This window comes from Homo sapiens, chromosome 5 (genome assembly GCF_000001405.40).
Source record: "Homo sapiens chromosome 5, GRCh38.p14 Primary Assembly".
In the NCBI taxonomy this organism is placed as follows: Eukaryota; Metazoa; Chordata; class Mammalia; order Primates; family Hominidae; genus Homo; species Homo sapiens.
In genome coordinates, this window is record NC_000005.10 from 149,890,061 (window position 1) to 149,906,062 (window position 16,002).

Here is a 16,002-nt window from a genome sequence, read left to right on the forward strand (position 1 = left end):
TTCTCCTGCCTCACCCTCCTGAGTAGCCGGGATTACAGACACACCACCACACTAGGCTAATTTTTAAAATATTTTTGGTAGAGATGGGGTTTCACCATGTTGGGCAGGCTAGTCTTGAACTCCTGACCTCAAATGATCCACCTACCTCAGTCTCCCAAAGTGCTGAGATTACAGGCATGAGCCACTGCGTCTGGCCCCAAAATCATATTCTAAATTAAGTATTTTTCTTGACTGCAAATTAACTTTGGAATTTTTCAGATGAACCCTTAGAACATCTCAAAAAGATATCTCTTCTTGTAAAAAGAGAGACATTAAACTAATTAGGCTTATTTTATATATTAAATTATATGGGAAGCATTGTCAAATACAATTAATGCTAAATCTTCAAGTTGTATTCTAAAGATGTGTTATTAATATGTGTTTCAGAAACTGTATAAAATTCATAGAAATCTAGTATTCCTGGTATAACACTATCAGTCACAATTTTAGTTATTGTCTTAAAATGTTTGCAACGGAAATAACCAAATTTCCTTGTCAATTGTGTCATTATTGTAATGAACTCTCATGAGATCTTTAACCATGACCATGTAAAGTCTTGTCATCCACAGGTGGTTTTTCACTCTGCTACTTTCCTGAGCAACTCTAAGCCTAAAGTGTTTCTTCTTCATAAGATCATACCATTGGACTGGGGAAGAATTTCCAGAATTCCAGTGAAGAAACTGGTTCATAAAACTGCTAACTCAGTATTAAGCAGAATAAAAAATAATTGAAAATTAAAACAAATGATTTGGCAGATTTTTATGCTAAGTCAGCCAGTACTGAAATTGGTGAGATATACAATTTTAATGAACTCCAAACATTGATCCAAGTCAAGTTACCTATGATAACCTATTTAATAAACAGTGCTATGCACCTGAATTGGAGAAATGAAATTGGTATTTAAAAGGATGTAAATCCAATGTTAAGTGTGGACTCATAAGGAGTCCCGATGGCCTCCTCATCCTTCTTGAGTCCTTAAAGCTTCCATTATTAGATTACTGCACTCCATGACTCATCATGGAAGAGATAAAATGACAGAAATGATGACAAAATAGTGACAAGGTGACTGCTCTAAAATTGCTAAAATGGGCTGGGTGCGGAGGCTGGTGCCTGTAATCCCAGCCCTTTGGGAGGCCGAGGTGGGCAGATCACCTGAGGTCAGGAGTTCGAGACCAGCCTGGCCAACATGATGAAACCCCGTCTCTACAAAAAATACAAAAATTAGCCAGGGGTGGTGACGCGTGCCTGTAATCCCAGCTACTGGGGAGGCTGAGGCAGAAGAATCACTTGAACCTGGGAGATGGAGGTTGCAGTGAGCCGAGATCACATCGCTGTACTCCAGCCTGGGCGACAGAGCGAGATTCCATTTCAAAATAAATAAATAAGTAGAATTGCTGAAATGGTTTCAAGAAATGTTTGGGGCCAGGCGTGGTAACTCACACCTAAAATCCCAGATCTTTAGGAGGCCAAGGCAGGAGGATCACTTGAGCCCAAGAGTTCAAGACCAGCCTGGGCAACATAGTGAGACCCTGTCTTTTCAAAACAATTTAAAAATTAGCCCAGCATGGCAGTGAGTGTCTGTTGACCCAGCTACTTGGGAGGCTGAGATGGGAAGATTGCTTGAGCCTGAGAGGTCAAGGCTACAGTGAGCCATAATGACATTACTGCACTTTAGCCTAGGCAACAGAGCAAGACCCTATCTCAAAAAAAAAAGGAAAAAAAAAGTTTGGTTTGTCAAACTCATAATTCTAGCAAGACAATAAAAATCTCAGGCAACACATTTCCAGCACCCACTGGATCATCTGAACACTTACAAATGGATTTCACTTAACTGCTCCTTTAGTGCTTCTTTTCTGGTTTTATAGAACCGTTCCCATACAGGAAGGCTGATGCTATAACACTACTTAAAAAGCTATTAGAAAATATTTTTTCACTGAGTTTAATAGCTTGTGCCTATAATTCCAGCAACTTGGGAGACTGCAGCAGGAGGATCACTTGAGGCCAGGAGTTCAAGACCATGGCAACATAGTGAGACCCCCCATCTCTCTAAAAAACAAAATAAATAAATCAGCCAGGCATGGTGGTACTTGTCTGTAGTTTTAGCTACTTGGGAGGCTGAGATGGGAGGATCACTTGAACCCAGGAGTTTGAGGCTGCATTCAGCTATGATCACATCACTGCTTTCCGGACTGGGCAACAGAGTAGGAGCTCAAATCAAAAAAAAAACTTAAAAAAATGTTTTTCCCTTGTGAGGAATTCTTGAGAAAATCTCCAGAGACTTTTCTGGAAGCACTGTCAAATAATAATGCTAAGCTTTGTTTGAGTTATAGTCTATGGATATGTTATTAATATGTGTTTCAGAAATTGTATGACATTTTCTTTTCTTTTCTTTCCTTTTTTTTTTTTTTTTGAGACAATGATTCACTCTGTCACCCAGGCTGTAGTGCAGTTGTGCCATCACAGCTCACTGCAGCCTCAGCCTCCTGTGTTCAAAGGATCCTCCTGCCTTACTCCCTGAGTAGCTGGGACCACAGGCGTGCGCCACCATACCTGGCTAATTTTTGTACTTTTTGTAGTGATGGAGTTTCACAGGCTGACCTCGAACTCCTGGGCTCAAACATTCCACCTACCTAAGCCTCCCAAAGTGTTGAGATTACAGGTGTGAGCCACTGCACCCAGCCTGTATAAAATTTATAGATAGAGATAAAGAGATACTCATTTCACTAGACACATCGTAAAACCATTTACAAAGATATTTTAAACACAATTGCATTAGGCAAAGCTAACTGAATCAATTGGATTGCCTTGGTCAAAGGTATTCTCAATTGATGGCAATCAGATCCACTCCTGCTGAAAAACAGATTGGCCCCATACGAAATAGTTACAGGAAGGTGTATGCCCCTGGTAAGAGAACCTCATTTATCTTCCACTTTTATAAACTCTGACGTGACTCAGTAGTGCAGAACTTTAGTGCATTATGCCAAAGCATATTTTCATCAGGTTAAAGAAGCCCTTTGTGACCCACCAGTTGATGACAACCAGATCTTTCATGATCTAGAACCCAAAGATTAGGTCTTTTGGAAATTACACCAAAGGAAGACTGCTCTTGAACTCCATTGGACGCGACCATACCAAGTTCTTCTCTACCGCAAAACTTTAGGGCCTTGAGTCTTGGATCTACATCTCTCAATTCAAAAGGTCCCTCCAGATTCCTGGAAGTATACACCTGTTGGACTCCTTCGGGTAAAGCTAACCAGGGAAGGTTTTCCACAGAAACAGATGGCATTCTAGACAGGGATCATAGATCAAGACTTCTCTGCCATCATGAAGGAAACCGTACTCTGACCTTTCTAATTAATAACCTAATCACTGCCAAATATAGAAAACCCATCTAAGTGATGCCTACAAAAGGTATATCCTGCTTTCAGGTATTGTATAGTCAAGACCTGGAGACTACCTATGTGGGTATGAGTAATTGCTTGTAGGATGTCACTGGATTAAATCCAGTAAGGTTTCTTTCCACTAAATATGGTTATGCAACCTTACAGTATGCTATGAAGGGACTACAAAAAAGTAAGTGTCTCACTGGACCCTGTTCAGGAGCTATGCAGACTTATGAGTGGACAGACTTAACTGAACTCTGTTCATGCATCACTAGCTGGCCTCTTTTCCAGTCCCAAGGGCTTATATTGGGTTTGCTTACTCTGTTCTGTCTCCCTGATGGTTCAGAACTTGTTATTTGGCCAGGCTCACTCATGCTCCCAGATAGCTTGCCCCTGAAAGTTCCCATAATAACTCCCACAATCAGAGGCCAAAGCAATCAATAACCAGAATTACTAATGACCTCAAAATAGATGAATATAAGTTAGTGTCTACTGAGGAAAGTTTCCAATGGGGCTCCTGGGGGCTCACTCTTGCTGGTAGAGGGGTACCAGTTATAGGGAATTTAAAGCTGATTATACATTAGAGGGAAATCTTGGATTTTATAGTCAATCAGGCCTCCCAGTGTTCAGACAGGTAGAAGCAACTCTCTAAAAAGTGGATGAGAAGATTCATGGAAACACCTAATGGAACATGATGCAGCTTTAGACCTCCTTTTTGTCCTTGTTGGGGCTTGTGTATGAGGCTGAACAAAACTGAATGTTGCACTTATCTTTTCTCTGATTTTAGTACTACAGGAAGCTTAATTTAAAGGTGGCTGATACTGCTGTTTCTCTAGACACTGCCACAATTTAAGGAAATTTCAGAAAATTTCTCTGGGGAAAAGAACACATGATGTGTTTATGGGAGCAGCTAACAGGTGGTTTGGAGGCATCTCGAATGGTGAATGGCAAACTTTTCTATTTCAAGGTTTTCTAATCTTTATTTATTTATTTTAAGTGGATTTCCACATTACTATGACTTGCATTGCCAGGCTAACTACAGAAATGGATACCTCTTTATAACAGGCCATTTAAAAATGAAATATGTTCCTAATTGTCATTATGCCCCCAAGCAAAGACTATAACCATGACCAATTGAACTGTTGAATTTTTTTTTTTTTTTTTTTTTGAGACAGAGTCTCACTCTGTCACCAGGCTGGAGTGCAGTGGCGCGATCTTGGCTCACTGCAACCTCTGCCTCCCGGGTTCAAGGAATTCTCTGCCTCAGCCTCCCAAGTAGCTGGGATTACAGGTGCCCGCCACCACGCCCAGCTAATTTTTGTATTTTTAGTAGAGATGGGGTTTCACCATCTTGGCCAGGCTGGTCTTGAACTCCTGACCTCGTGATCCACCCGCCTCGGCATCCCAAAGTGTTGGGATTACAGGCGGCCCTGTTGAACTACTTTTATACTTGTGACATGGTTACCCCCAAATAACCTGACTGAGGTTGGGGGTAGCTTGCAGCTTTCTTTCACTTTTTATTTTATATGCATCTCTATTCTTGGAATCCTTTTACACTAAGCCCGTACTGCTTTCACATAACTCTTAAAAGACAATAAATAAAGAAAGAAGAACAACGCTGTTGCTACCATGTAGAGTCTGCATGAGATTGTCTAGTGTGATGCAAGCCCACCCTACCAGCCCCACCGGCCCCGCCATACCACCAGCAGGGAGAACATGGTCTGCCCCACGTTGAAGCCGTGCCGCCAGTTGTGGTAGGTGATCTTGCGGTAGCCCTTACTCAGGGAGTACATGAACCGCACCAGGGCCTGTGAACACATGCACATCAGTGAGGCAGGACACACCTGAAATGGTCTCATGAGGGTTGGAATAACAAAAATATGAAGAAGGCATGGCCCATGGCCCTCTCTTTTGAGGTTTGAGGTACTCTAACCCCATCATTGGACCAGGAGGTGAGAGCTTGTACTAGATGCAATCATGCTGCGAAAGTGCTTTGCAAATACTAAATGCTAAATACTAAGAAGATGTTGTTGTTGTTGTTAGGAAACGAGGTGAGCATGCATCATTCCTCTGACTGAGCTTCATCAGTAATTCCCGAACTGTGCCCTGGAGAGCAACTATCCTTGGAGAAGCTAACAAGGGCTCTACAGGGAAAAAAAAAACAAAAACAAAAGGACTCTTTTATCCAGTGGTTCTCAAACTTGCGTGTGCATGAGACTCACTTGGAGGACTTGTTAAAACAGTTTCTGATTTATCAGAGCTGGGAGTGTGTGTGTGTGTGTGTCTGTGTGTGTGAGAGAGAGAGAGAAAGAGGAGAGAGAGAGAGAGAAAAAGAAGAATGTGAATTTCTGATAAGTTCTTAGGTGGTGTGGATGTGGTCTGGGGTAACACTTTGAGAACCACTGCTTTAATCAAAATCAAACAAGTTCAGGCAATTCTGCATATCATATCCCACTGCCTCCCACACATACCTTCTCTGCCGTCCCCCATGACCCTAGACTCACAGCAAACCTTAGTAAGGAATCCTGCAGGGAATGAGCCCTGTTTAAATGGGTTTAGCCCACATTTTCTGCCCTCATTTAACTATAGGACCCATTTTTTGCAGCATATCTATTCCCAGCCTTCAGGGCTTAGTACCTCAGAACCCACTGCAAGAAACCAACGCACCCAAAACATCACACTTCACAGGACACAGAGGAACAGCGTGTCTCTTTTCTTATAAATGACTCATCTGTGCAACATGACTAATTCTTTAAATCCTAAATACTGAGAGTAAACTCTTTTTAAGGTAGTTTACAGATTGAGTCTTTTTTTTAAAGCAAGCAAGAAAGAAAATTAAAAAGGGAAATCATATATATTTGTTTTGACCTCACCTCTTGTGGAATGTGAAATTTATCCACCACTTTGAGCTCATAATACATCTGTATTCCACATTTTACCAGCTCCAGTTCTGTTAGGGGTAAGTCACTGAAGTGAAATTTATTAATTTCGTATTTATCTGCATCTGGCAGCTCCGCTTGCTGTATAAGGAATAGAGTCAGGTGATTAGGAAACATGAAGTGTTTCTGGGTGCCCACCTCCTGTCCAGCCCTGTCCCCATCCTGGGTCTGCTGGAAGGATCAGAACAGAGTGATGGGGAACATGCTTTGCAAGGAGAAACCCCTGCATGCTCAGGAGCACTTTGCACTTGTTATACATCGGGGCTCGTGCTGCCCCGGTTCAGCTCACCAGGATCTCAGCCAGCTCCTCTTCCTCACACTCCCATGGCTCCTTCCCATACACCTCTCTGGTTTTCTGCCAGGACCCAAAATGGCAGGGGAAAAAAAATAGGTTACAACATGCCTCCGCGTTTCCATTCCCATTTATCTCCTTCCTCCAAAGTCCTTGCAACAGAACCACCAGCTCAAAGAGGATTCCATTTAACATCCATTGATGCACAAGGTCCTGGGCTTTAGAGCCATAGAGACCTGCATTCAAATTCAAGCTCTACCACTTACTAGCCGTGTTATTAATGCTTCTGATCTTCAGTTTCCTCATCTGTAAGTTGAGGATAATAAACATACTTAACTGGTGAATTAAAATTTAATTGTGAAAAGTCATTCTCAAGTAACATATGTAAAATTAAATAATCCATATAAAGCACTTAGCACAGTGCTTGGCGCATAGTAAGCACTAACATAAATTAATGTTGTTGTTGATAGTTTCATTGTTACTATTACTGACTGGGAGTAAGGAGGCCTTGGACATAGTCCTAGTTCTTCCTCTCATTTACTGTGTAACTTGAGGCAAGTTCCTTCTCTCTCTGGGCCTGTGTCCCCATGTGCCAGAGGAGGGGGAACTGGACCCAGTTACTTGCTCCTGATTTCTTGACCCAGAGCAAAATTTGTTAACTTGTAACTGGTTCACCGAGGCTGTGCCCCGATAGGTTGCACATACCCATTCTTTGGCTGAAACTGTGGACTGAGTCAAGCAAACCATGAGGCAATTTATTTAAACGGGATGTTTTCTCTTCTGAATTTAACAGTTATTGGAATGAAATGATCAAATTTGTTGTGGTATCTTCCCAGCTTAAGAAATGCCCTCTAAAAACATTAGCCTGTCTTTATTTTTTCTTTTTTTCTGGTCTCACTCTGTCAGCCAGGCTGAAGCATGGTGTGGCAATCACGGCTCACTGCAGCCTTTGACCTCCATGGGCTCAGGTGATCCTCCCACCTCAGCCTCCCGAGTAGCTGGGACTACAGGCACACGCCACCATGCCTGACTAATTTTTGTGGGGTTTTTTTTGGTAGAGACAGGGTCTCGCTGTGTTGCCCAGGCTGGTCTCAAACTCCTGGGCTCAAGCGATCTGACCACCTTGGCCTCCCAAAGTGCTGAGATTATAGGTGTAAGCCACTGCACCCAACTTAATAGGGTCTTTTAAGTGAGCTGACCCCACAGGAGGGAGGCTCTGAGAAACTGATAATTGTCTACTGGTCTTCCAGATAAAGCTTCCTCTCAGAGTAGGGGCTATGGCTGGTTGACTCTGTCTCCAGTAGCAAGTCATCCCTGAGCACTGTGAAAAATGGAGTTTCTAGAGCTGTCAAGCCAACATCTGACCCCAAGAATGAGGTGTTTCTGCAAGCAATAGCTGTCCCCAGGCCACACAGTGCAGTCGTTATGTACCACTCTCAGGCACTCATCTGCTCATGCACTCATTCATTCATTCATTCATTAAATGTTGAGGGCTGCTGCATCCCTGTGCTAGGCAGGAAGGAACACAACAGTGCACAAACCCATGCCCAGGCTGTGCCCTCATGGAGTTGCAAGTTTTGCCTTAATCTGGCCACATCTCTGAGACGCAGTCTGTATTAGAGTAGAAACAAGTAAAGAACATTACACACCAAGATTTTCTGAATTTCTTCATTGTCACACTTCACATGATATTTTACTATGTCCTGGAAAATATCCTTCCTATTTTCAAGTTTATTCATTGACTCATAGGTGTCAGGATTTAAGACAGACCAGCCCAGAAATTGAGTCAAAGACTGAAAAAGAAAGAAAGGAGGAATCAGAGACAGAACACCTAAGTTTAATCTTGACTCTAAAACTCATAGCAAGAGTCTCTAGGCCTCTGTTTTCTCAGCTATAAAATGGGTTTGATAAGCTGTGTGCTGCCCACCTTGCGGAGTTCTTATAAGGCTAAGATAAAGGAATGGATGTGACCACACTGTACATAAAGCACTAACATACAGAAAGTACCATTCTTATGTGTAATAACTTCACAAAAAGAGAATGTGTTTTTGCCTATGTGGGGATAGGGGATATCTAGGAACGCTGTACTTTTTGCTCAATTTTGCTAAGAACCTAAAACTACTCTAAAAAGTAAAGTTTGTTAATTATTTTTTATTTTTTATTTTTTTGAGACAGGGTCTTGCTCTGTCACCCAGGATGGATTGCAATGGCACAATCATGGCTCACTGCAGCTTTGACCTCTTGGGCTCAAGTGATCCTCTTGCTTCAGTCTCCTGAGTAACTAGGACCACAGATATGCGCTACCATGCCTGGCTAATCTTTTTTTAACTTTTTGTAGAAATAGGATATTGCCCTGTTGGCCAGGCTGGTCTTGAGTTCCTGGGCTCAAGTGATTCATCTGCCTCAACCTCTCAAAGTGCTGGGATTACAGGTGAGAGCCACCATGCTCAGCTTAATTACATTTTTTAAAAAGGAAATGTGGATTTCTCTGACAGCACATCAGTGCAGTACAGCAGTGAGAGTGAAGAAAGTGGTTGATGAGGCAGAGTCAGGGTTATAGCAACCAGGTTGCTGCCCCATGTGATAGCGCAGTGACACCCAGCCTCCCCCAGCAAGCTGACTCTGAATCCCAACAGCAAAAGGCCTCCTAGCAAGCCATACCTCCATGAGCGTCTCATCCATTTCATCAAAGGGCTTCCCATCTTTACGATTGTAAAATGTGGCCACTCCAACAATTTCTTCCTTCTTGTTCACAATCGGCATTGAAAGCACATTTTTAATCATCCATCCAGACTCATCCAGAGGTTCTTTCTACAAGAGAAGGGCTAGATTAGGTTTCCTCTTGTTTCAGGCCACAGAGGCAACGATGATAGATTTCACCCTACATCATGACCCTGATTGGCTGAGAGGAGGTGGCAAGAGGATGGAGTTCATTGGATTTCGCATGAGTTTAATTACCGACAACTACCATGAGAAATAACCCATCTGGTCGGAATTCCTTAAGCCAAGTAGCCATTTTGTGTTCACCCCTCAGATGTCAGGGCCAGTGTGTGTCAGGCAGTGTGTTACAGGGATGTAATGATGTGCAGAACATCCCAGAGAGGTAGTGTTTCTCTTTCAGATATGGGAGGCAGTGGCAGGGGACTGGCTTAAAAGGGCAATGCTATGATTCTTGTAACGTTGAATTAATAACCTAGATATAACCTGCACATTTTGCCTCTTGCCCTGACTTCCTATGTTACTTTTAGTACTTCATTTTCTCTCCTGGGGCCTCAATTTTCTCATCTATAGAATGGAAAGAATCTGTGCCTCACTGAACAAATGAAGTTCTTGATCAATTATAAGATGCCTTTGGTGAGGCTAGGCATGGCGACTCACACCTATAATCCCAGCATTTTGGGAAGTCGAGGCAGGCGGATCACTTGATGTCAGGAGTTTGAGACCAGCCTGAAGAACATGGTAAAACCCTGTCTCTACTAAAAATACAAAAATTAGCCAATTAGCCGGATGTGGCGGCATGCTCCTGTAATCCCAGCTACTCGGGAGGCTGAGATGGGAGAATCGCTTGAACCCAGGAGGCAGAGGTTGCAGTGAGCTGAGATCGTGCCACTGCACTCCAGCCTGGGCAACAGACAGAGACTCCATCTCGAAAAATATATATGTATATATATATATATATATATATCCGTTGGTTCATCAAACATTTAGAATGTGCAAGAAACTGAGCTAGAAACTGAGGAAGCCAAGGCACAGATCTTGTCCTCAGGTTGCTCATAATCTGTAAGGTAAACCAGCAATTACACTGCAGTGTGGGAAGTTCTCTAAGAGAGTTACATTATGGAACTATGGGAGCCAGAGGAGAAAAGGAAGTCAAGGAAGGCTTCCTGGAGTAGGTGAGTCTTCCAATCCTGAAGTTTCAAGATTCTTAACATGGTGAGATGATAATTGTTATTATTTAAATAATACTGGAAAGTAAAACAGCTGTCTTAGCACCTGGTGAGAGAGTGTCTCCAAAAGGATGCAGAATACTGCCTGAAGAGCACAGGTTTGTATTGAACTCAGACCTGGCTGCCCGTAGCACTCTACCTAATCTTCATGGAATCCCTTCCCTCTGAAGGCCATGATAAAAAGACAGATTTTATTGAAAATGAAAGAGGACACCATTAAAGATTTTTAAGCAAAGAAATCATTGATTCAACCTATGTTTTTTGTTTTTTGTTGAGACGGAGTTTTGCTCTGTCACCCAGGCAGGAGTATAGTGGCACTATCTCGGCTCATTGCAACCTCCGCTTCCTGGGTTCAAGCGATTCTCCTGTCTCAGCCTCCCAAGTAGCTGGGATTACAGATGCCCACTACCACGCTCTGCTAATTTTTGTATTTTTAGTAGAGACAGAGTTTCACCATGTTGACCAGGCTGGTCTCAAACCCCTGACCTCAGGTAATCTGCCCGCCTCGGTCTCTCAAAGTGTTGGGATTACAGGTGTGAACCATCGCACCTGGCCCAACCTATGTTTCTTAAAAACATTATTCAGGGGCTGGGCGCAGTGGCTCACGCCTGTAATCCCAGCACTTTGGGAGGCCAAGGCAGGCAGATCACCTGAGGTCGGGAGTTCAAGACCACCCTGACCAACATGGTGAAACCCTGTCTCTACTGAAAATAAAAAATTAGCTGAGAATGGGGGCGCATGCCTGTAATCCCAGCCACTCAGGAGGCTGAAGCAGCAGAATCGCTTGAACCCAGGAGGCGGAGGTTGTGGTGAGCCGAGATCGTGCCACTGTACTCCAGCCTGGGCAACAAGTATGAAACTCCATCTCAAAAAAACAAAAACAAAAACAAACAAACAAAAAACAACATTATTTAGGCTACTTTATGGAGTATGAGTTGGAGGAGGAAGACCAGAATCTAAAAACAAGATTAAATTTGCTTTACTAATGTAGTTAAACTGCAATCAAGTGGATGACTTGAGTAAAGACTACGTTCTGCTGTGGTTGTGGTCAGGTTAGCAACCCTCAGCAAGTCTTCAGGCTTGTCGCATTGATGTGGTCAAAATCACAACACATGAAGTGCAATTTTAACTTTGGAATTATTTTCTGTCTAAGCTTTTTCATAATGTTCTTGAAGGAGAAAAAAGTAATTCTGACTTTTCTGAGTCATTTTTATTTCCTTCTGAATTATTTCCTGATTGATAATGATTTGTTTTTCTTTTATTTGTTTAGCCTAGCATGCTAAACCAAATCAGTAGTGACAGGGCCCCCAGAGCTGAGGATATCAAGAAAGATAAGACCCAACCTTGACCAAAGGAAGTCACATTTTACTAAGAAGAATTAGTCTGACACGGAGACAAGGATAATAAAAGATGACATAAGGAAAATACATAAGAGACACAAGTTCCTTGGTGTGCCTTTCCAGGCCCTGCAGGATCTGGTCTCTGTCCACCTCTCTAGAATCTTCTCCTGCCAGTCTCTCCCTCAATTTCTCACTCAGATTTGTTGGCTTATTCTAGTTCCTTCCAATAAGCCATCTTTTTCCTGCAATCTTCTCCCCTCTCTCTACTGTCCAAACATAAGTTTTGGGGACATATTTCTTGATTCCTCCCAGATTAAGTCAGAATCTCCAGCGATGCCCCTCCTCTCCCCTCTGCCCTTCTCCTAATCACCACTCGGTGTCTCTTTCCCCATGCAATCATGAGCTTCATGGAGACAAAGACTATGCTTGTCTGGCCCACCACTGTAGCAAGTGTTAACATTTTGCCAATGCTTTCACAGAAGATATCTTCCATGAAACATTTGTTAAAAAAAAAAAAAAAAGACAAAATCAAATGGAAGGTCAGGCGCGGTAGCTCATGCCTGTAATCCCAGCACTTTGGGAGGCCGAGGTGGGTGGATCACCTGCGGTCAGGAGTTCGAGACCAATCTGATCAACATGGCGAGATCCCACCTCTACTAAAAATACAAAAAATTAGCCGGGCGTAGTGGCGGGCGCCTGTAGTTCCAGCTACTTGGGAGGCTGAGGCAGGAGGATGGCGTGAACCTGGGAGGCGGAGCTTGCAGTGAGCCGAGATCACGCCACTGCACTCCAGCCTGGGCGACAGAGCGAGACTCCGTCTCAAAAAAAAAAAAACCAAGGAGAGAGAAATTACATTCAGCCAGAGGAATCATAATAAAACTTAACAGAAGTAGTAGCATTTGAGGTTGTCATTGAAGGGCAGAGAGGATTTCAATAGGAGATGGTAGAACAGGATTTGAACAGGAGATGATAGGGAACAGCATAAGCAAAGGTGCTGAGGCCAGTCAGGCATAGTGGTGCACACCTATAGTCTAGCTAATTGGCAGGCTGAGGCAGGAGTTTTGCTTGAACCCACGAGGTTGAGGCTGCAATGAGCTATGATTGCACCACTACACTCCAGCCTGGGCAACAGAGTGAGACCCTCTCTAAAAAAAAAAAAAAAAAAAAACAAAAGAAAACAACAACAACGACAAAACACCTGGCAAAGTGGCATTTTGATTATATTTATTGAAATACAACTTTAATGTCTGAATCTGATCATGAAACTTTGGAGCTTTTGTATATTATATATTGTATATCTTGTATACAATATTGTATAATTGTATACATTATATAATTGTATATATATTGTATAATTGTATAATGTTGTATTATATATTGTATATTATATATTGTATATCTTGTGGGGGGAAAAATAGATCCTGAGGCCAGAAAGCAAAGAGTGTGAATGTTAAAACTGAATAGGACCTTGGAAATTACCCAGTTAACTCTGTCCCCATTTCCATTGGTACAGGAATTTTATCCTGTCATATTTTCACTTTGTTGAGGCTGCTTCCCAGCAGAGTGGGTGGATTCTAATGTATTCTAATGCTCTTTGGGGAGGAAAAAAAATCATATGACTAAGACTGCAAATAAAAAATGACTTACCTGAAATGCAAAAAAGTCCTCCGCAGGCGCATTCATGATGTTGCAAATCTGAGAGCAGTGAAGGGGAATAATGAAGGTGTGATTAGGCCTGAGAGGGTGCCCAGTGAAGCACTGTATACCATTTTCAGAAACACCATGTTCTTGTCCAAGGCATTCACATTCTTTTCATCAGGTAGACATAGTCGAGACAGTTTTCAATTATTCACTGAGGCTACTAGACAGAAAAGTCACCTTATAAACATTACTTTTTATGATTTGCTCCACTCTTGAATCATTTCTAAGCTTTGAAAAAGTTAAGGCTACAATTTGTCATTACTAGTAGCTGGAGGGTATCCCATTTTGTTGTTCCCCTTTTCTTGCTTATTTGGGTTGTATCCATGGTCTTTAAGTTAATATAAATACCAGCCCAGCCAATGTGGTGAAACCCTGTCTCTACTAAAAATACAGAAGTTAACCAGCAGTGGTGGCGTGCGCCTGTAATCCCAGCTACTCTGGAGGTTGAGGTGGGAGAATCACTTGAACCTGGGAGGCAGAGGTTGCAGTGAGCCGAGATCGTGCCACTGCACTCCAGCCTGAGCGACAGAGTGAGACCCTGTCTCAAAATAAAATAAAAAACTACATTTGGGTTCTGTTTTGTTTGGGCAGGTAGGGGTTTTTCCTTTGCGTATAAACCCCAAAGTAGAATAATAAATGAAAGGTGTTGTAGCTCTGGTTCTATATTGCCAGATTCCTCTCCTGAAAATTGAACCAGTTTACCCTACTGGTAAGGGATCAGATGACACTTATCTGATCTCCCCAGAGCACTGTGGGGCCACCGTGTACAGTTGTGTAATGTGTGAACTGCACACAGGCATCTGGCTGAGGGGCAACTGGGAGCTGAAATCCAGCCTGTGATCTGCTTGCAGCGCCATGACCTTGACCTTTCTTTAGTCATCCTTGAGAAACGGTGCCTTCTAGTTCTCAAAAAGGCACCACCTGGGCTTGTAGTGACCCTGCCTGACAACACAGGAGTGGGCTGTCTGTGGTCTTAGAGAGCAGGCTGTACCTGCTCCTTCCTGTCCAAGGACTGCCTGCTCACTGCACCAGCCTTCTGACCTCTCCTTTGACCAACTCTATCAGTTACTATCATTGTCTCCTGATCTCAGAGTTCTTGGAGCCCTCTTTCCTCTCCATCTGTGAGCATGCTGGTGTCTCTCTCATGCTTGAAAATGAAATCCTTCCTGCATCCATCATGGTCCCTATAGCAAGCACCCAGGCATTCTCCTCTTTTCTTTTGCATTCTTTACCTTCTCGTTACCCATCCACTACTCAGCAAACCACATGCTGGTTCTGCTTCCACCTCACCACCAAATCCATTTTCACTGGGGCCACCAATAACCTCTCCAGTGCCAAACCCAATGAGGGTTTTCAATTCTCTCACCAGTTCACTCTGCTGCATGTCATCATTTCCTTCCCTGTTGAAACTTTCCACTTCCTTCCAGACACTTTCCACTTTCCACTTCCAGAGAGACACTGCCCTCTCCTGGGTCTCCAAACACCTCTGAACCTTCCTTCTGTTTCTCTATCCACCCTCCTCTTTCTCCACCCACTCTGTAGATGCCAACACCCTCCATTATTGCACCCTAGGTCCACTGCCTGTCTCCCTCTCCCTAAGTGGCTTCCTCCACACTCATAATTTCAAACACCATCTGGTCCTGATATCTTCCAAATCTCTGCTTCCAACACTCCTCTCTCTCCATGGCATCAGAATTGTCTCTTCATCTACCTGCTGGACAGCTGCTCCTAAAAAATGTCATAGTTTTACCTTGTCTGAAACTGACCTTGTCATCTTACATCCAAGCATGATGACAGCACTATCTATTCAGTCTAGAAGCCTGAAATTAGCTTTGACTCCTCTCTTCCCCATTCTCTGCCTACAACCAATCACAAAGCCCTGCCAGCTTCACCCTCTCAATATTGGACCTGACCCATTATCCCCTTCTTGTGTTCTTGCCTCTGTCAAAGTTGTTGTGAGTATTAAATTTAGGTAGTGCCTGACTCATGGTAAGCACCCAGTGGCTGTTAGCAAGAATGATAGTATTCTTTACCCCACCTGTCTTTGCTGAGATTCTCATCACCTCTTACTTGAATGATGCTCTGGTTACTTTGCCTGCAGTCCTAGTCCTTCAGATCCACTTCCCAGGAAGCTGCTAGAGTTATCTTTCTTTTCTTTCTATTTTTTTCTTTTAGAGACAGGGTCTCCCTCTGTTGCCCAGGCTGGAATGCAGTGGTGCAATCATACCTCACTGCAGCCTGGAACTCCTGGGCTCAAGGGATACTCCTGTCTCAGCCTCTTGAGTAGCTGGGACTGTGGGCTTGCACCACCATGCCTGGCTAATTTTTAAATTTTTTGTAGAGACGGAGTCTTGGTATGTT

The 16,002-nt window shown here is 43.1% G+C and overlaps 1 protein-coding gene across 6 annotated transcripts in view; it reads right to left on the reverse strand.

The window, feature by feature from the left end:
- Positions 1-16,002, reverse strand: part of PDE6A (phosphodiesterase 6A) — an 86,841-nt gene that overhangs the window by 32,108 nt on the left and 38,731 nt on the right. For 3 of the 6 annotated variants that reach the window (NM_001410788.1, NM_000440.3, XM_011537650.3), the window contains 6 exons: positions 13,588-13,635; positions 9,315-9,464; positions 8,303-8,446; positions 6,651-6,716; positions 6,296-6,442; positions 5,123-5,230 (listed from right to left, as the gene is read on the reverse strand). In NM_001410788.1, coding sequence (NP_001397717.1) covers positions 5,123-5,230; positions 6,296-6,442; positions 6,651-6,716; positions 8,303-8,446; positions 9,315-9,464; positions 13,588-13,635 — 663 coding nt within the window. Of the gene's footprint in view, positions 1-5,122; positions 5,231-6,295; positions 6,443-6,650; positions 6,717-8,302; positions 8,447-9,314; positions 9,465-13,587; positions 13,802-15,007; positions 15,792-16,002 lie in introns of those variants that run through there. The other 3 variants (XM_011537651.2, XM_011537654.2, XM_011537653.2) reach the window with 3 other exon arrangements.